The sequence below is a fragment of the Homo sapiens genome, chromosome 4, assembly GCF_000001405.40.
Source record: "Homo sapiens chromosome 4, GRCh38.p14 Primary Assembly".
NCBI classification, from domain to species: domain Eukaryota; kingdom Metazoa; phylum Chordata; class Mammalia; order Primates; family Hominidae; genus Homo; species Homo sapiens.
This window is the reverse complement of record NC_000004.12, coordinates 153,904,809-153,925,701: the sequence shown is the minus strand read 5'-3', so window position 1 is coordinate 153,925,701 and position 20,893 is coordinate 153,904,809. Positions and strand designations below refer to the sequence as shown.

The following is a 20,893-nucleotide window of genomic DNA, read 5'->3' as shown; positions in this document are numbered from 1 at the left end:
CAAGTATAAAATTCAGTCAGTCAGTCAGTGATTTGACAAGCAGAGAACCAAAAAAGCCCTGCCTCATGAGTGTATAATAATTCCAGTGAAGGAAACATATAAGAAAATAAACAAGTAAATGTATCTCATGAATGATGATGACAGGATTGGGGGAAAACACACAGTAAAGAGGATAGGGAGATGAGGGAGGTAGATGTATATATATACACATATATATAAACATATATAAACCATATATAGAATATATAGTTTATAAATATATAAACTATATGTAAATATATAAGCTATATATTCTATATATATTCTATATATAAGTTTATATATATGTGTATATATATACATATACATATAGTAGTCAGAGAGGGCATTTCTCGCAACATTGAGCAAAGATCTGAAGGAAGTCGAGGCATGAGACATGCAGATCAAATATGTTCTTACCTGCAAAGTGCTTAGAACAGACTTGGCCCACAGTTAGCACAGTACAAGTGCTATCTCTCCTTATGGGGAAAGCGTCCCAGAAAGACGGGTTAGCAGGTACAAGGGCCCCAAGGTGGGAGCATGCTCATATCTTTAAGAAATTGCAGGGCAATCAGCATGGCTGGTGCTGAGTGAATGAGGATGAAGTAAGGGAAGTGATGTGTTCACAGAGGTAATGGATTCAGGGGAGGGAGGAGCAGATTCTAGTTGTTGACTTCTTCTTCTAGTCCTTCTAGAGTAAGGACTCTGGCTTTTACTCTAACCGAGAAAGAGAGCTGTTGGAGAGACCTAAGGCAAGCAGTTATATGATTGACTTATATTTCTAAAGGCTCACTCTGCTTGCTATACAGAGGCTAAAATGAAGGACTAATAAAGGCAAGGACTGAAGCAGGGAAATGTGTTGGGTGCCAATAGCAATAATGCTGATGAGAGATGGTGGAGGATTAGACCAGAGTGGTGGTTGTAGAGGTGGTAAGTGTCAGACTCTAGATATATTTGTAAAATAATTCAACAGGATTTGCTGATAGATTAGATGACCAGTATAAGACAATGGGAGCATTCAAGGATAACTCCAAAGTTATTTTGTTTTGTTTTGTCTGTCTTTGTGTAGACAAATAGAAAGAGGGCATAGCCATCTAAGAGATGCAGAAGATGGCAGGAGAGCAGAATTTGGGGTCTTAGGGGGATGGGAAATGGAAATCAGAAGGTAGTCTGGGACGTATTAAGTTGAAGTTGGCAATTAGGCCTCCAAGTAGAGGTCTTGAGTGAGCAGTTGTATACACACCCAATGGGCAAGGGAGAGATGAACTAAGCTGTTGCTAGCTGATGAGTAGTGTTTAAAGCCATGAGACTAAATTAATTCACATAGGAAGTAATTATGGGAAAAGAAATGGAGAGGTTCAAAGACTAATCCCTGGGACACTCCAGTACTCAGAGATCTGAAAATGAGATGGAAGAAAAACTGAGAGGAGAGGAAGTGGACACAGCCAACACAGAAAGCTCAAGGTCTTTCTGGAAAGGAGCAGAGGAAAGGAGATGAGGAATCAAGAAAGGGTCAGAGCCCGGCCAACATGGCAAAACCCCGTCTCTACTAAAAATACAAAAATTAGCTGGGCATGGTGGTGCACGCCTATAATCCCAGCTATTCGGGAGGCTGAAGCAAGAGAATCAGTTGATCCCAGGAGGCAGAGGTTGTAGTGAGCCAAGATGGTGCCACTGCACTCCAGCCTGGGCAACAGAGTGAGACCTTGTCTCAAAGGAAAAAAAAAGGAGAAAAAAAGGAAAGGGTCAGGCTGCTGAAGATGAGAGAAATGGCAGCACATTTGTAGGGCTGTCTCAGTCTGCTACAGCTGGCATGACAAAGCACCACAGACTGAGTGACTTAAACAACAGACATTTATTTTCTCACGGTCCTGGAGAGTAGAAGTAAAAGATCAAGGTGGCGTCAGGGTTGGTTTCTCCCGAGGCCTCTCTTCTCAGCTTGCAGATGGCCATCGTCTTTTGGTGTCTTCACATGGTCTTCCCTCTGTGCGCGTCTGCATCCTGATCTCTTTATTAAGGATACCGGTCATACTGGATTAGGGCCCACTCCAATGACCTCCTTTAAACTTAATTACCTATTGTAAAGACCCTGTCTCCAAGTACAGTTACCTTCTGAGGTACTGGGGGTTAGGACTTTACATATGAATTTTCGGGGAACACAAATGAGCGTGTAACAACTGTTGAGAAAAATCCCAGAGAAAATTTCTGAAATGATATTCTTTTTTTTTCAACGTTTATTTTAGGTTCAGGGTGCATGTGCAGGTTTGTCACATGGGTAACTTGCGTGTCGCTGAGGTTTGGGGTATGAGCGATCTCATCACTCAGGTACTGTGCATGGAACCTGATAGGTAGTTTTTCAACAATAGTCTGGAATAGGCAAAGAGGGATGGGATCGGGTGCAAGAGAAAGAAGCAGGCTGAAGACAGGACATGGGTGGTTCCTCATAATAACAAGAGAGAAAGCAGAAAACCTTGATACAGATACGGGAGGGTGGATGTGCATGGTGGGGAGCACACAGAAGTTCTCTCCCAATTACGTCCATTTTCTCCATGAGCTGGGCAGCAGAGTCATCACTGGATCAGGAAGGTGGGAAGGAAGTGCCGAAAGGTTGAAGAGAGAGAAGGGCTATAATGATCATATCAGATGGCAGGAGAGAGAGCTGACTCTAGGGAGAGGTAGCATAGTAGCTGGGCAACACCAAGGGCCCACTTGAGGTTAGCCAGCCTGGGCAACCTCAAGGTAAGCAAGACCAGTTTGCAGGGATGTGTTTCCTTCCCATGATGTTCTGTTGCAAAAGTTCAGCCCCAGAGCATGCAAATAAATGGATCTCACCAGGATGCTACAGGAGGGAATGCCAGGCAAGTATGACAAAAGTGGATATGGGATTTGTGGGGTGGCTATGATGTCAGACCATGGCATCTGTGCTGAATGAAAGGCATGTTTTTCTCCCAGGGCTGCTATAACAAAGTATGATGAACTGAGTGGCTTAAACAATAGCACTGTGTTGTCTCACCATTCTGGAGGCCAGAGGTCTGAAATCAAGAGGGCGTAGGGTGGGTTTCTCTTGAAGGCTGTGAGGAAATGGGGAAGTGGATATGGCCAAGAAATTGGAAGTTTGGGGTGTCTTTTTCACAGAGGAATTATTTAATAAAGTATACTAACAGAACTTTGGTTAGGAAAGACTTACATAGAAAGAGATGGAAAAATTGGTGACAGAAGTCAGAGGGAAAGTTAAAGGACAGGAAGAACTTGAGGGACAGATAACATCAATAACGTCACATGCAGAAAAGACACAGATGCAAATGAGAGCAAAGTGCTGAATGGGAAAAGAGGAAACCTCAAGACTTTAATAGACAATCCTGTACCTTCAATTGTAGTCTGTGCCAGCCCAAAATGGGCCAGCTATATTTCAATGAGAGGCTGTCAGTCTCTGATTAAGAGCATGGAAACTGTCCATAGGCTGTGTGGATTCAAATCCCTCTCTGACGCTTAAATGCTCTTGGCCCAGCAAGACAAGCTCCCTTCATTTTATAAGGAACTCTTATCTAATACAAGTCTTATCTTCCCCATCTATAAAAATGCAGGATTTGTTCTGTGGTCTTAGAGAGTTTCCAGAGCTGCCTGTACCCAAGAGAACTTTCCTATAGCCATCACCAATCCACCCAGGACCATTGCTGGTAATCTCTATATACTGTACACATAAGAATCACAGACCCTGATCCACTTCCTCCAAGCATCTTGACTGAAGATTGGTGTTCCCAGAGGATAGCAACCTCATCTGAACCTGGCATTTGTGGTCCTTAACTTTGCAGGGGGAGGCATCAGACCACCCTCCTACCTGGCTTCCATCCCTCTGTAGGGTCAGAGCAGCCTCCATGAAGCACAGAGGCCAAGCTGGACATGTTCCTGAGTAATTGAAGAGAGAGGGCCCTGTAGCGGGGTCATTTATAAGGCACCCAATCCAGTTTCTACATCAGACATTCTATATGCTGGTAACATCCTGTGAACATTTTCAGGCTGAAACAGTTATCTGTTTGTGTATCCATCTCCCTCACTCAGCTGCGAGCTCCTTAAAGGAAGGCACTGTATCGTTCGTCTTTCCAGCCCCAGCCCCTAGCCTGCCTGCAATCAATGCTTACTGAATGGTGAGGTACAGTAGCTTCATGGTTCAGTGACAGACTGGATTCTACTTCCACCACTACCACTCAATAATCAGTTGATACCGGCTTTATTTCCTAACTTTTCCAATCTTTATTTCCTCATCTGTAGAATGGGGATAATAATAGCATCTTCCCCATGGGGTTGTTCTAAAAAATTGTTTTAAAGTAGATGATATAAAGGAATAATTCAGCACAAAGCTGGCATGTTGTAGACATCAGAATGTCACATATTATTGATAATGTTCATTGTACTGAATATGCTGAACATCTGGATGTTACATGTAGTTTATTATGTCAAGTAGATTAAAAAATAATCTTAGAGAAAAACTACCTAACACAAAGGGAACCCACACATATTTCTTACAGGTTAAATACACATTTCATTCAGTGTGTGTGGCATCCTCTCATCTCTCTACTTGCTCACAATCCCAAACCATGGATTTTTTAAAAAGCAGAGCACAAAGGCAAGAAATTCTAATTTACTAGAAAAAAAAACAATAGATCACCTTTTAAAGGAGTTATAGGCTATGTGGTTACTATGGAAATAAGAACAGTCCAGACCTAGGAAACTGGTACTAACATAACAACTACAAATAAGCATTTCAGAATACAACAAAGAGACAAATACATTTTTTCCTTTTCTATTCAAGTATGTGGGAAAGGATGAATATGCTCCAATCATCAGCTAAACCTGGACAATGTGCAACTTAGAAATTAGGTAAAGATGGTTGACGTTCCCCTTTTATAGTAAACTAGGTGGTCATAAAATGCAAAATCCTTTATTCTAAATATGCTACAGTTTAACAGGCTTAAGACAAGGAGGAGAAAGGAGTCTCTTTCCTTCTCTTTTTTTGTTTGTTTTGAAAGACTAAAAGGCTAGTGATGGTGCAGGCTGACTCTGGTATATTTGTGGGAGGTGAGAGAAGGATAAGGGTTCAGCCATTTTCTTTTGCTTTTTAAGTAATTCTTAGGTGGTGCTTTTTGAAGTTACAAAGTGTGCTTAATTTCAGTGTTTGTAAAATGCCAGTAGAGGATCTAACCTCGCAGGAGGATGTTTTGAAGAGTCGGGAGGAGACAGAGGGCTTGCCTAGTACCACCTTCTATGATCTATAAAATTATACTTTGAAGAACATTGAAAAGATGGGCTTGGCATGTGCTGGCCTTCAACCATGGTTGGTGTATAAATTAGAGTTACCAGGCCATCACGAGTTATGCAAACTGTTAATATTCTAAGAAAGAATAAAAAATTATGATATGCTTCTCAACCTCAGAAATACTGACATTTAGGACACAGAATTCTTTTTTAGGGCAAAGTGCTACATGTACATGTATGATATTTAGCAACATCCCTGTCCTCGATCCACCAGATGCCAGTAGCATCCTCCACCCCAGTCATGACTACAAAAAATGCCTCTACACATTGCCAAACATTCCCTCCGGGGCAACTTTGCCCCTAGATGAGAACCACCGAAATATAGATATAAACTCACAAATGATCAATAGAAATTTTCCTTTTTTCAAAGTATTTTGCAAAAAAAGTTACTTTTTTTTTTACTAAGAGGTTTCATAAACTATGAAAATCCACATTTCTCAATACTTGCCATACTGGAGAAAGCCTTATAATGTTTCGTCACCAAGTAGAAGCAATATTCTTGGCAGATTTCCCAATCCCAATATTGTCAAGAGATTCACCAAAGTTTGCATCATTCCATAACAAAACCCAGATACTTTATTAAGTTTTGAACCCCACCCTATCCCACTTAAACATCAAATGTCCATGATCAAAATAACCCAAACTGCATAACTTTAAGATTTGAGTTGTGGGGCAAGCAGTACGAGGCAGGGATTATAGAAATAAATCTTATGAAATTTATTGAAGTCTATAAAGTACTTGCTGCAGGAATAACCTTGCATATTTTTTCCAAAGAACAGCACAAAATTATTAATTAGATAATCATTTGCATTATTAGCTCTTGAGATGATGCCCTTAGATATCTGTGGAGTACTGGGATAAACAGAGATTATGGATCACTGACACTTATTTCCTTTCCCTCTTGGAGTAATCATTATCCTTTGGATACATCCACAAAAGTCCCCAACCAAACATGAACACTAGGAGAGTTTGTGAAACAAATCATTAGGCTTCTTGGTTCTAGACTCAAACTGCTCTAGATCTTTTGAGTCTAGAACCAAGAATCCTAATGATTTGCTTACAATTAAATAGTTAAAACAATTAATGATTCTTCATCATTAATTGTTGGAGGTTAGATTGCCTTATATCTATGGTCCCTTCCCACACTTACACCATGTGTATTTTGTTTTAGAAATCCAAGTCACCAAATAGAAAACAGTGGGAATGGTAAGAATTCTTGAGACTCTATGTTCCACTTTGACACTCTTATCATACTCATATTCAGATTTGCCTAGGCCATGAAGAGGTACTATATTCATTTCAGACAAGACAAAAAATATCTCTCTGGAAGGACTTGGGTCACAATGTCATCTATCACAGTACAGAGGAAAGTCCTCTTAGTCTATTATCACAGGGCCATGAGTTTATAACCCCGCGGGGAAAGAGAATTCAGTATAGAGAAAGGGCAATCCCAAAACTCTGGCCTGGAGAATTGTGAGAAGATGTGAAATAGAGACAGAATTATGTTTTCATCAAAAATGTTATTTGTATTGGTTCTGTTACATGTATAAGAATTTAATAAGCAACTGTATTTTTGAAAAGGGGAAAGGAGATTATGTACCCGATAACCTAACTTTTCACATGAGTTGGCACATACGAACATTTGCCCTTTTAAGAGGAAACCTCCCAAACTGAAAAAACTAGAAGACTCAACTCAGATTCCTCCTTCTCAAGGTTTAATTCTTTGGTAGGTTGTGCCAGTGCTATTAGAAATACCTAGGATATGACTTTATCCAAAGGCACAGCCACAATATCATTTTGGCCATAATTTTGGCCAAATTTATCAGTTTCTTTCTTTATAATGAAATGATATAATGAAATAAAGAGAGATTATTTCTCAGATTCCTTGGAAACCGACTTGATTGCAGAAAAACTCTGCTTATAAAAATAAAAATGTGACCCAAGCTAACAAAAGCAGATACTGTGCTTTTCACTACATGGCATTACAGAAACTTTTAGTTTTTATTTCCCTATACAAGAGGGTCACACATACTTCCAAATAAGTTCTTAGCTTATAGCAGACTCACTGATGAGCCCCAAAGGTAAAGAAATCAAAACTGGCAAAGTGTCTTCACATATGGTATGGAATTCAGAGACCCTGCCTTTAAGGTTTCTTCCAGAGGTTTAAGGAAACTCCTTATGATTACAATAGGACCTTACTCTTTTCTACCTTTTTATACTCCTTCCTCACCTGGCCAGATGTCCCACAGCTTTCAAAACATCCTATTACTTTATGTATATCTATATATATATATATAGTACTACATATTTTTATTGGGATCTTTCAGTATACTAGGTCTTATTTAGAGCTCTTGGATTTTCATTGTTTAGGTTGGGATTTTACTTTTATGAGGTGTTAGCGCAGAGAAGGAGTGTGTTCTGTTTTCATTTTGTTTTTGTTTTGATTGCCACACACTCTTCTAAACCTTCCCCTGGTGCTGACCCCTCTGAAAAGATGATAATCTCATTTCCTGCATCTTAAGAGAAATTCTTAACAGGTCAAGAATCTTTAGTCAGGGTTTAGACAGTTATTTTTACCTTCCCTTTCCTACCAATGACATTAAACCCATGATGAGACAAAATGTGATACAAGCTTTTTCAAATATGCTTGAAATAGGCACATGGTTTCAGTTCTGTTCTGGAATATTCTGTTCCAAAGAATTGCAGCTTTCCAGTCCTCTTTATTTGTTAGCATTATATTTCTAGAATGTCGAGCAAATAAAGCTTTTCACTGGGCCAGTTTTAAAAAGATAAATTTAACTTGAAAGTAGATGAACTGAATTATATTTTCATTAAACATTAAAATCTTCCTCCTGAAAACCCATGAGTTAAAGAAAGGGACAAGGACAAAGTATAACAATAAGTATTGTCAAAGCCACTTGATTTCAGACCCAAAATGGGAATCTCCTTTCTGTTCTGATTCTGAAGCTGAAGAAAAGGACCAATTTAATCGTGTAATCCCCTACTCTACCCTTGTGGTTGAATCTGGATCTGTGTGTCAGGTAAGATGTCTCCAAGGAGAGCAGAACAGTAGTTTTCTTTATTCTTGCAACACCTGTTAAGAGGTTATAGGGAGTTTTATATACAGCAAGTAGAACTCCAGTCTTCTCTCTCAGGGGGAAAAAAAAAGCCTCATTAAAACATATCCTTTGCCAAAGTTTCATTGCTCAGAAGAGTCAATGAAACTTTCAACCCTTAGGCACTCTGCAAATTTTGCTTTCAACCTTTCTAAGAGCCTTCTTGTAAATTCTAAGCTTAAATATATTTAACATTATTTTCTAGGCTAATGTGGTTTCTGAATTAATATCTGTTTAACTACATAATTAAATAAGTTATTTCTTAATGAGCCAGCACATTATAGACATAGTTTTCTATCAAAGTATATATATAGTCATCTCACAAGTGTAACCAAGGTTAGAATAACAAAATGTTCAGGAAAATCAACAGGTAACTATAAATAGAATAAAAATATCACACTTTCAGTAATGGGAAACCTCCCATCAATATGGTAGACTGCATTGACACAGTACATTCTACTCCAAAACACATAGAAATGCTGAATAAAAGATAAAATGACCAAAAAATAAGCTGGGGGTGAAAACAAGAAAGAAATTTCCATGTGCCAGAAATAGAAAAGACCTCAAAACAAGAGTGAGGAGCTGAAGGCCATGACTCACAGGGTTTCAGTCTCAGATGTAGGCCCAAGAGGCTGGCATCTGGGGTAACACACTCAGAGAGACAAAACATGAGAAATTAAGCCCGAGAAAAAGGAGGGCTTGAAATGAGTCTTCTGAAAACTCCCAAGAGCATAAGGACCATCCATATTTAAGATGGGAAATAGAACACCTCTGTTCACTGGCCTGGACAAGCGTCACAAATCTTACCTTCTCCCTGAGCCGGTGGATGAAAGAAGTGATCTCTGAGTCATTAAAGCCTGAACCCCAGCCCATGCTCAGATGTGGGGTCTAAATTCTACTGCTAAGTGGAACAGACAAGCCACAGAGTGGTGGTTTGTTTCTCTCCGTGGCTTGTGCACTGACGAGAGTAAAAGACATTGAAATCTTCTCTGACATTTTGGCAAGCCCCAGGCTGAAAGTTTTATTTGCCATATACCAGCTCGAATCCTTTTCCAAAGGCAAGGCAAAGGCCTCAGAGATAATTTTCTATTCTTTTCTCTTCCTTTCTAGTTAAATTGCTCATTTGTTATCTTTTATTTTCAGCACTGATAAACTCTATAATATAATTTTTTTTCAAATTGTGATGACCAAGTGGTTTCCTCTTTCCCTTGTTTCTGGTAATCTTCAAAGTAGAAATTCCCTAAGCAGAGGCAAGATTGCTATTCCTAAACAAGTCAGCTGTCTTAATCAGCTCAGGCTACTGTAACAAAATGCCATAGACTGAGTTGCTTAAGCAAGAGAAATGTATTTCTCGCAATTCTGGGGGCTGGAAAGTACAAGATCAAGATGTCAGCCAATTCGGGGTTTCTGGTGAGGGCTTTCTTGCAGACAGATGCCTTCTTGCTGTATCCTCACATGGGGGATGGAGGAGAGATGTTCTCTCTCTGGTCTCTGCTTATAAGGACATTAATCCCATTGTGGGGGCTCCACCCTAATAACCCCCTGTAAACCTAATCACCTCCCAAAGGCCCCACCTCCTAATACCACCACATTGGGGATTTAAGGCTTCAACATATGCATTTAAGGGAGACACATTCAGTTCATAGCAGCATGCCATAAGCCTGGATTATAATCTTACTCTGGTTTCTAACTCAATGCCTGATAATGAGCAAGTTATCATTAGTTTATCATCAGTGACACAGGAAAAAGTAACATTTTTCCTTAGAAGGTTGTTGAAAGATTAAATGATACAATGATCTCAGAAAATGCTGGTTTCCTGCCTACTTGCACACTTTCAATTAATAATCTTGAATTGGTTTGGTTCATCTATTAATTATAAACTACTTTTCACCTGAAGAACAGTCAAAAATATATGATAGAGTAGATGACTTTGCAAAATCTCTTTGGACCACCTCAATCCAGTTATTTTATTTATCACCTGCTCTCAAAGGCTGGGTAATTTGCAGTTTGGCCATAGCTTAACAAGACATGTAGGGAAAAGTGGAGCCTCCAGAAAAATCCTTAAGGACTATTACATAAACTGCTTCTGGAATAAAAATTGAATGTTTCAGAGGGTAGGTGATTTTCACTTCATCTTATGAACAAAATATATAACAGAGGATTAAATTGCACCATCTACCTAGGAAAGTAACTCACCTAAGAAAAGGTTCTGTTCCTGTCATTATAAACATAATTATTTCCTTCAAGACAGAGAATAATCTAACCCCTCAAAAAAAGCCAAAAATGAAACCTCTGTGGAAGTGGTAAGTACAGACCCAACATTCAGCAAAACAGGCAATGTTGACAGACAATAGTCCATTAAATAACTAGTATGGTGTTATTACATAAACACAAATTTCCATTTAGGAGAAAAAACCCTTGAGACAGGATGAAGCCTAATAATAATTAGGAACCTGTGTATAGAAATAATTAGCTGTCAAGAACTAGACATATTCAGTTGAATCTCATAAAACGTACAGAGTAACAGTGCTTCAGGTTCAACCTAAAACGTTTCAGAAAATTCACAGAGGAACCCTGGAATTAACAACCAAACAGAACAAGAAAACAATGGAATTAGGTTAGAAGAAATTATTTTATAAATAATTTCAATATTATTCCCCTGAGAGATACATTGTGTCATGCCATATATTCACAATGTCATACGTCATACCACATCATTCATAACACCCAAGATCCAAAATAATCACATATCTATAGAAATTCTTCAAGAGTTCAGCTTAATTTCTATTGTTGTTATCACTTAAATATTGTTATGCTACCTTGATAGACCCTAAAGACTTTCTTTGAAACTTTACAGATTAAATATCAAAGAAATTCCATGTTCTTCCATGACACAAAGTAAGATTAATCGAGGGATTTATTGAATATGTAATGTTCCAAGTAAAACTAGGCCTACAACTTCCAACCAAATCTCTGAGGAGTCAATGCAGAACCAAAAAAGAAAAAAACACTGAAACTATTTGCCTATTCACAAAATGTTTCCATCAAGAGTTCTTAAATGATCAGGCTTTACCATCTGGAACCAACTGTCTTGTGATGGCGAAAACGATGTTCTAGAAAGGTTGCTTTGTGATCAAGTGGATCGAGAAGAAAGGTAGGACCAACTCTTAAAACACGTAGAATCCTGTACAGAAATGAGAAAGGGGAAGGAAGATAAGAAAGCAGATAGTCTTTGGCCAGAAATGAAATGAACAAAACTGGAAGTTATATTCTAGCCCATTCAAGAGCCATCTAAACTGTGGTAGACCAAAAATTACCACCACATTTACTCCTTGGGTTTCTGATACATAAGAGAAAGATAAGCATATTATTATTGCCATGAGTAATCCTCTTAGAATATACATTCCAGGAGGGCAGCAGCTTCTTTTCTCTTGTGCCTTTCACAAGGTAGATCCTCAGCTATTTATTACACGGATGAATGGCTGGAGAAAGGGAGGGAGGGAAAGAAGGGGGAAGTTGCTTTCCATTGAGCTGCACCCCTGATTTGGACATCTCTCTCATCTTTTTTTAGGTTGACACCAGCCACATCCAAAGAGGCCCTCAGACCCCAGCACCTTGACTTGGACAGATGTGGGAGCTCACTTACCACAGGCTGAATGTGGACGTGCAGCAAAGGAAAAATGCATTCTGTGGGTGTGTGTAGTATGGACGACAGATCCATTCCAGATCCAGTTGAGGTCAAATCTGACCCCTACTATGTGAGCAATTAGGATTTTTATAAATTTCACTCTTTCTGCCATTTTTAAAAAATTAAGTATAATCTTTACTTATAAAGAAACTAATCTTTAAACAGAGTTTTAAACTAAACTATAGAGCTTGTCTTTACTTTTGTTTTCCTTTTTTTATTAAAAAAAAGTGAGACAGAAAGTTTTTAAAGGGCAATACTTTATCATGAATTCACATATATGTAAAGAAAAGCACATAGACAAATTTGCATTTATGAAAATGATCATTTAAATTTTCTCCTTTATTTTGTTAATATGGTGAATTACGTTGATTGATTTTTAAGTATTAAATCAATCTTGCATTTCTGGAATAACTTCCACATTGTTATTATGTAATATTCTTTTATGTGCTATTGATTTAATTTGTTGATATTTCATTGAGAATCTGGTCCCTATGTTCATGAGAAATATTGGTCTGCAATTTTCCTGTCTTTTCTTTTTTTTTATTTTTGGTAATATCTTTGACAGGTTTTGGCATCAGGGCTGTGTTGGCTCATAAGACAGGTTGGGACACATTTTCTCCTCCTCTATTTTCTGAAAGAATTTGTATAAGATTGGCATCGCTCCCTTAAATATTTGCTAGAAGTTACCACTGAATCCATCTGTACCTCGGGTTTTCTTAAGGACAAAAACCAGTTTTGATATCACACTCTATTCTGTCTCAATTACTCAAAAGAACATACAATAAATGCTTTCTCCTAGTATCTCATTTAGGACCTTTGAACCACTGTTATTCAACAGACAGAGATAGTAACTGTGCACAATAACTGGTGAATTACAAGACCAAAAATTGACCTGATTTTCATAGGAAAAATGTTCAATCTCTTAATTTGGATAAAAGATAGCCTAATTGTGCCAGAGAAGTAGAAGCCCTATTAGGTAATCCATACCTCTGTCCAGCAAATCAAGGCTTGTACATCAATGCTCTCAATGTTTTCCAGAGCACACTCAGGATAATTTGTCTTTTGTGTCCCTGGCAGTCATGACTACTGCCCTGCTCCTATTTTCCAGCAAAAATAAAACATCACTGAACCTGCCAAGGCACTGAAACTGGTTCAAGAAAATAAAAACTGTCAAGAGCAGGCAGATTTGGATTATTACAGATGTCCAAAATTTTTGTTTTTAATCTCCAATTCCCAAATCCAAGTGAGATTTTCAAGACTCTATGTGCATAGTTAATTTATGGAGATGACCGCACACACACACCAAACACACACATTTTTGATTCGTCATTTTGTAGTTTTCCACTCTCTATTAAAAGTCTTCACAAAAAAATATACATTTGTTTCACCTAAAGAACAATGAAAATGTCTTAGTTTGAATGTATTAAAAGTCATTCACATATGTTCCTGTCAAAAGCTAAGACATGGCTGTAAAGGAATAAGGTAAAGGAATAAGGCTGAATCATAATGAATGAACTAAAGCATACTCATTTCCCCTGTTGGCTGCCTGCTTATTCCAGTGAGTTTCCATTTTCCATTTATGTAAGGGACCCTTCTCTTAGAACTGCCTTCCACAGCTACACCCGTCCTCCTGACAGTCTTTGGTGGAGCGATGAGGATCACTGTGAACAGGTGAGCCAGGAATGGCTGTGCTGGGTATTCTCCACTCGCCCCTCCAGATCACTCTCCATGCTTCTCTACTCTGCTCTGTGTCCTAGCAGACTGATCTGTATGGGCTGAAGAAAGGAGGGTCCCTGGCTCTCCAGCTTTCCATCAAGAATGGACAAAAGGAAGCACCATCAGAGTTTTGAAGGTAAAGAGGAGAGTGAGCTCAGAGGTGTGGCTGCCTTCTCCTCTGTAGTCCCCAGGTGCAGTGGGAAAGCTCTTACGTAACATCTGACTCAACATGCCAATAGCACCTCCCTACTTTTATCCAATCCAAACCTAGGAAAAATAAAGGCTCCCCCATCCCTTATTGGTTTCCCATTATCCCTTCCACATCTTTTATAAATAGACCTTTGTTAAAAGGTCCTCAATTAAACACACACACACACACACACACACACACTCACATTATGTAAGTGAGCAATATATTTCTTGCTTGAACCCTGACGGATAAAGAAGTCAAGTCTGCATGTGGGTGATTATGCTGGGTAACATGTCTTCTCGTACAAAAGATAGTTAGTCGGTACAATCTTGAAATAATTTTTGGCATTGCCCATTCCTTACTCCAAAGTTCTTTCCAAAAGAAAAGTTCCAAAATTGTTTAGAGCAGGGGCATGATCATCCAAGCATCTCGTCTCCAAAGGTGACTACTTTGATGGAAGCCTTATTCAGTTAGCGATTAAAGTTCTGGACGCTTATTGTTTTTAATGTCTCATGACATTAGCATTGCATTTTATGACATCTATCCATCACTTCCCATAAGAAAATACGTACCTTGGAAATTTTGAGTTGATAATCAAATTTTTTAACTACCCAGGTCCCAATAGCAAAAACAACAAATGTCTGTTACACTAAAAAGGAGAGAAAGGAAGAGATTGATTTGAGGAGAGATTTGGCTTCATGGGATACAGGGAAATAAATAAGATTATTTCCAAAAAACATATTTCATTAAGTAGACACATGTAAAATTAGTTTCATGTTGTGAGGAACAAGTTGCCTATGATTTTAGTCACAAAATATGCAAATGCTTGAAGAATCATTTATTTCCTTAGACTCCCCAAGAATCAGCTTTCTTTTTTAGAATATTGACATTTAAGAAAAACTTGAAACCTGACCGGCTCGTTCTCTACTTAGAGTCAGTAAGTTTCATAAAGTTGGTGATAAGCTATTCTCTTTCTTTTCTCTATACATAGTGTACTATATTGCGCTATTATTGTTGCTTAAAATACTTCATGAACATTTTGAATGTTCTCGGTGTTTTTAATATAGATTTGGACTATCATAGAAATTAAAGATGGAAAAATAAGATTCTTCCTCTTACTATGAACTGTAGTCCTCAGTCCAGGCTTCATTCTCCTTTTCTGATTAATGAAGCTAAAAGAAGGGAAAATAAGCCTTCTAGGCAATTGCTTCCATTATCTCAGTATTTCTGGACTAGCATTATCTTTTTAATGGAATGCCATTACTCCACTGATTTACCCCTCACAAATTATGTCTCTTGCTCTTGGCATTACGCTTCAAACTTATTGATCAAAAGAGGCTGTGTCTCTATCAACTGCAGTTTATTTGAACAAAAGATGTCATTGCAATTAACTATGATATCAAGATTGGCTTAGAAAAGATAGAGATGTGGAACTCCCCAGTCCACTCTGTTTGAGACCATGGAAACAAGGAATTTCAACCTTTTAGTCATATTTAATTTATATGATAGAATTATTGGTACAAATATGGTTTTTTTAAACAATTATATATATACATATGTATGTGTATGTATGCATATATATATATACACACACACACTTCCTTTAATCTTCTCAATAACTTGATGTTTCTAGTTCTTTTTGTTTGCTTGCTTTTACCCAAAAGACAAAATGGATTTTTAAATCTAATATTATTTTGAAGATCCTCTTAATTTTGCTTTTCTGTCTTATGTACAGCTCCATATTAAACTCATGGAGCTAAGAGTAAGAGAGATGGTGTAAATCATCTAGTTGCTAACCACATTTCACACATGAGGAAACCAAACCCGAAGGCTGATTCATCATTATCCCTTTCAAACTTTCATCTAATATTTACTAACAAGATATAATAGACTGTGCTTTTGAGAAGAACATTTGAAAAAATATATAATCTATCTCCCAGGAGTTAGGCCAAATATTTTTTAAACAATTCAGAATTCTACTAAAATGTCTCATTTGTTTCAAATCAGAGTTATTTCAAAACCAAACTCAATGATGAGTCTTCCCCAGTCCAATGTAAATAAACTGAGAATAATGCAAGACTAATTTGCCCTTATCATATGCCATGTTAACTAACTATATTTTCATATATTTCTCTTTTCTTCCTAACCAAATTTTAAACTCTTTATTCTTTCTTTCTCCCAATAAACCTTGCTCCTGGCTTTCCATGTAATCAGCTAGACTTCATGAAGAAAGTTATTGGCAACCTGGAATCCACAGCTCTTTATTCCAATTCCTTAAACAGTGATGCCAGCATTGGTTTGGGGAAAAAAATGCATTTAATTTGCTTTAGAAATACACAGAGGAATAAGGTGATTGATCTTAGCAGAAAGAAGCCAACACATGCCTGATGAAAATGTAACAGAACTTAAAAGCAAACACATGATTTGAACACTGGCATGGGAAGAACTCTAGTGAACCCCAACTACCCTCTTTGAGTGGTCAGAATTGTCCTGTTGAGTGTTCAGCCTAAGACTAGCATTTAGGATCAATCAGTACGACAAAGAAGGTAAAATCCTTTCACTTCAACTTAACCTATAAACTCACAAGCTGAGAACATTTTCTCATTTTGGCTAGAAAAACTACATAAGGATGGTTCTGAAGGAATAGACTTATTATTAATTATAAATGCCTCATATATAGGTCCTGTGACATTTATTTTTCTGCTTCTTTGTTTAAATAAACAGTGGGGTCTCCATCATAAGAACCTTAACTTGTCTAAAATATTAATTAGTTAGACCTAAAAATGTTTCCCTCTTTATTACTTTCTGACATCCTTTGGAAAGAATTTTTAACCAATAGGAAAAAATTAAAGTTTATATTGGAGAACATTTTCTCAAGTCCATTTGGCGAGGTCAGTAAGTTTGGAATTTGGCAGTGCTTGTAATTTTTAATTTCACTGCACTTTGAAATTTTGCTGACTGAATAGAACTAACTAAAGGAATCAGAGAATGAATGATTATAGGAATTTTTCAAATATTGCCCAAAAGATGGAGAAAACGACATCAGAGAATAATAGTAGGTTGAAAGACAAGGGAACCATTCAGCAGATTAAACAGAATTTTAGAAAGACAGGTACTGACAAAATAGACAGTATGAAAAGAGAGACCCAAAAAGAATTATTTTATTCCTCATGGTTATAACTGTTACTTCTCTCTCACAGAGCATAGTCAATATTTAGATGGACTAAGGGATATTTTAGTAATAAAAGTATAAATCAGGATTAAAAGTGTAAGATGAAAAGTTTGAATGATTTACAGAAATGTTTCCATGCCCTGACTACAAATGAATATAATTTTTTGCATTACCTGAGATATGAGACCATTTCCTCTCACAATAGACATCTTCATTTCCAAGGTGGGCTTCTCAGGGGGGTCATGAACCTCATAATTTTTCAGAAAACTGAGAATGTCTAAGCACAATGTGACATCCTGGAGAAAGAAGATCAACCATATAGAAGTGTCAAGGGTCACATCAACATGGACTAAATCACTGTTCCAACATATAGAATATTTTGGTAAGAAAAGACTTTGGGAGAATGATTGATTTGAATCTGAATTTCCCTCTAGACATATTTGGAGCAAGTGCTGTTTGGCTCTGGGGAAGGAGCTTCCTGTTACAAATCAAGTTTGGTCAGAAGAGTGAACTCTCCGATAAACATGGGATACCTACAATGTCAGAGACCACAGCAAGTGGCCAAGGAAGCTACAGCTTCTCTTCAACCCCCTTCAATCACAAGCTCAAACACAAAAGTAAAGGATAAATACCATTTCCAAGGAATTTTTCTGTAGGCATATTTACATGAGAAGGAAGTCTTACAGGGTAGAGAACACAAAGTAAGAATTTGCCATTGTGAGGAGCTAGCCTTCGCATAGCTTAAAAATTCATTCTAATTTAGCTCAATAGACCTTTTTTTGAGCCTCTACTATGTGACAAGCTTTGTAGTACAATTTGAGGCTCAGAGAAGGAAGGAAATCAAAAACAAAAGAGCAAGAGGAAGGGCAATTTGCACCAGGAAATGGAGATAAAGTCAGACAAAATACAACCTGCACAGTTTCAGTCTTCCAATGGAAGATCATTGCTAGGGGTACAATGTTTTGGGCTTGAATAATTAGCTCAGAAATGCCTATTCTACTGTTTGGTTGGGACCCCTGGGCCCAGACTCCAGCAATAGTCCCCTGGTGCTCACTAAGCATGGTTGTCCTCTCAAGGGAGTTAATGAGACCAAGAACAGCTTTCTCATAGCTGTGTCTGGAATCTTCATGGAGAAAAACAGGGAAATTTAAATGCATAATAGGCAAAAGGAGACATGAAATTGGCAATACTCTCTCAGAAGTAATTGTAACTCTGAACTAGGGAAAGGGTATCTGACAATGTAACTCATGAAATTTATTAGTCAAATTCATTCAATGTGGCTCAGATATGAGTGTAGCCACATGAATGAAAATAACTAATAAGCAGGAAGAGGAAAAAAGAGGGATGTCTCCTGCAAATTTGAAATAATGGCTACTAGGGTGCCATAAAGTCTTAAGATTTATTGGATTTTCTTTATGTCCTAGAAGTTATGTACCCTGACTCTGTGGGACTGCCTACTGAGTATTTCTTCATGGATGTGCCTCAAAGCATCTAAAACACATGTCCAAAACTAGATCCATTATTTTAAAATTCCAAAATAGAGTGATATAATTTATGTTTGCTCAAAGGTCTCTAGAAGCTCAAACGTGGGAGAACTGACTACATTGTGTGTAGGTGTCAAGGAAGGCTTCATAGAAGAGGCAAACCTTGAGCCACGTGTTGAATAGTGAGCAGGAGCTCACAAGAGGAATGGGTGCAGGAACAAGATTGCAGGCAGAGCAGAGCACACAGAAAGGCAAGCAGGCAGGAAGGGCATGAGGTGTTTTAAGAATTTCAAAGAATGTAGCTGGTGTACGGGTGGTGATAGAAGATGCAACAGGAGAGGAAGCAGGAGTCATATTAGAAAAGGCCTTTATTAAATTGAAATTGTATCCAGTAGTCAATGGGAAGTTACTGAAAGATCTAAAGAAGGAGAGTTAAATGGTCACATTTGTGTTCCCAAGAGATCCTTCTGGGAGCACTGTGGAGAGTGGCTCAGAGGCATGCAAGACTGACAGCCACACTCAATAAGAACTGGAATAGAGCCATGTAATTGACACTTGAGAGGCATGGGCAGATGGGAGCAAGAGCACTATCTGTGGGACTTCACAAGATAGCAGAATCTGGGAATAAAGGAGAAGGAGCAATTAAGAATGACACTCAAAATTCAAGCTTGTGTAAGTGGTTGGCAATGGCCCAAGGTGCCAAGGCCTCCAGAAGAAGAGAAGAAGGAGCAGGCTTTGGAGTGGGGCTGGAGGCAATGAGAACTCTTTGGGACATATTGAGGTCCCAGTGGGTCTTTCTGGTAGAAATGTCAAGGAGGAAACTGGAGAGGGAGATACGGAGAGCAGAAGAAAGGTCTTACCAGAGGTAAGGATTTGGGAGTCATGGGCCTGGCTAGGTCAGGCATGGGACTAACAAGCACTCCTAAGTGAGGCTCAAGTAAGAAGAGGGCTGAGAACAGAACTCTGGGGGCAAAAGCAGTTATGAAGCAGTCTCCTTGGGACAAGTTTGTATAGAGACCCACCTCTTCACCCATAACAAGCTGGCATAATCGGAGGGAGAAGAGTGTGGATAGTGGTTCCAAGAGAGGGTTCCCACTCTGTGAAGTTCTGGGATTAGGGAGATGGAGCCTGGCTCTACTGTAAGGGGTCTTTCAGCAACACAACTATTAGAAACTAGGTGCACTTAGAAGAATGACTTTTAGGAAGCCTGTGTAAAGGCTCCCAGCATAACTGCACCACCAATGTAGGATTGAAAGTGCTCCACATGGAATCAGAAGTGAAACCTAAAAATTAATGGATGAAATTATAATGTGTGGTGATATGTGCAAGCTTGTGTGTACAGTCGATCCTCATTATTCACAAACTCTGTATATGCAAATTCACCAACTAAAAATGTATTTTTAACACCCAAAATCAATACTCACAGCACTTTTGTGGTCACTCATAGGTACGCGTGGAGTGGCCAAAAAACTGAGTCCCTGACGTGCACGTTCCCAGCTGAGGTGGAACAAGCCAACGCTCTGCCTTCTTCTTTCAGCTCTCATGCTATAAATACATCTCCTCTTCACAGTCTATGCAATGCCAAGCTTTTCATGTGTCTGTGCTTGTTGTTGGTGACTTCTCTGTGTAAAACGGCCCCTAGGCACAGTGCTGAAGCACTGTCTGGTGTTCCTAAGCACAAGAAGGCTGTGCTGTGATGTGCTTTACAGAGAAAATACACGTGCTAGATAAGCCTCATTTTGGCATGAGTTACAGTGATGTTGGCCATGAGTTAAATGTTAACAAATCAACAACATATATTAAATAAGGTGTCTTTAAGCAGAGACACATATAAGCAAGGTTATGTATTGATTGCTTGATGAAAATGTTGTGACCAGAGGTTCACAGGAACCTAACTGTTTCCTCTAGGAGCAATGATATTTATGGAAACTTACAGAACATAACTACTACAAATAACAAGAATTGACAGTGTAGGGATAAGGCTGAAATAAGCCAAGAACTCCTAATTTACTCAAAATGGTTTGTTAAAAGCACAAAAATTTAGGGGATGGGCAAGTTTTTGAAGTTTTGTTTGGGTTTCTCAGGCCTAAACCAAGAAACAACAATGAAACAATTTGAACCACCTGATCATTCATTGCAGTCGCATGAACTGAAGATGGAAAAGTACATCATGGAGTCCTGGGTCCTAGCTCACCT

At 38.4% G+C, this 20,893-nt stretch overlaps 1 long non-coding RNA gene across 1 annotated transcript in view, besides 1 other annotated feature; it reads right to left on the bottom strand.

Annotated features, from left to right (window-relative positions):
• Positions 1 to 20,893, bottom strand: part of LOC101927947 (uncharacterized) — a 469,997-nt gene that overhangs the window by 373,118 nt on the left and 75,986 nt on the right. The window contains exons 5-6 of the long non-coding RNA XR_007058336.1: positions 17,387 to 17,509; positions 11,521 to 11,631 (exon numbers count right to left, since the gene is read on the bottom strand). This is a non-coding gene — a long non-coding RNA (uncharacterized LOC101927947). The remainder of the gene's footprint in view (positions 1 to 11,520; positions 11,632 to 17,386; positions 17,510 to 20,893) is intronic.
• Positions 9,192 to 9,311: an enhancer, noted in NCBI's record as "active region_22072". NCBI's record gives its function as "activates an Ori minimal core promoter by ATAC-STARR-seq in GM12878 lymphoblastoid cells {active_cell/tissue: GM12878}" and the evidence as "EXISTENCE:reporter gene assay evidence [ECO:0000049][PMID:35858748]".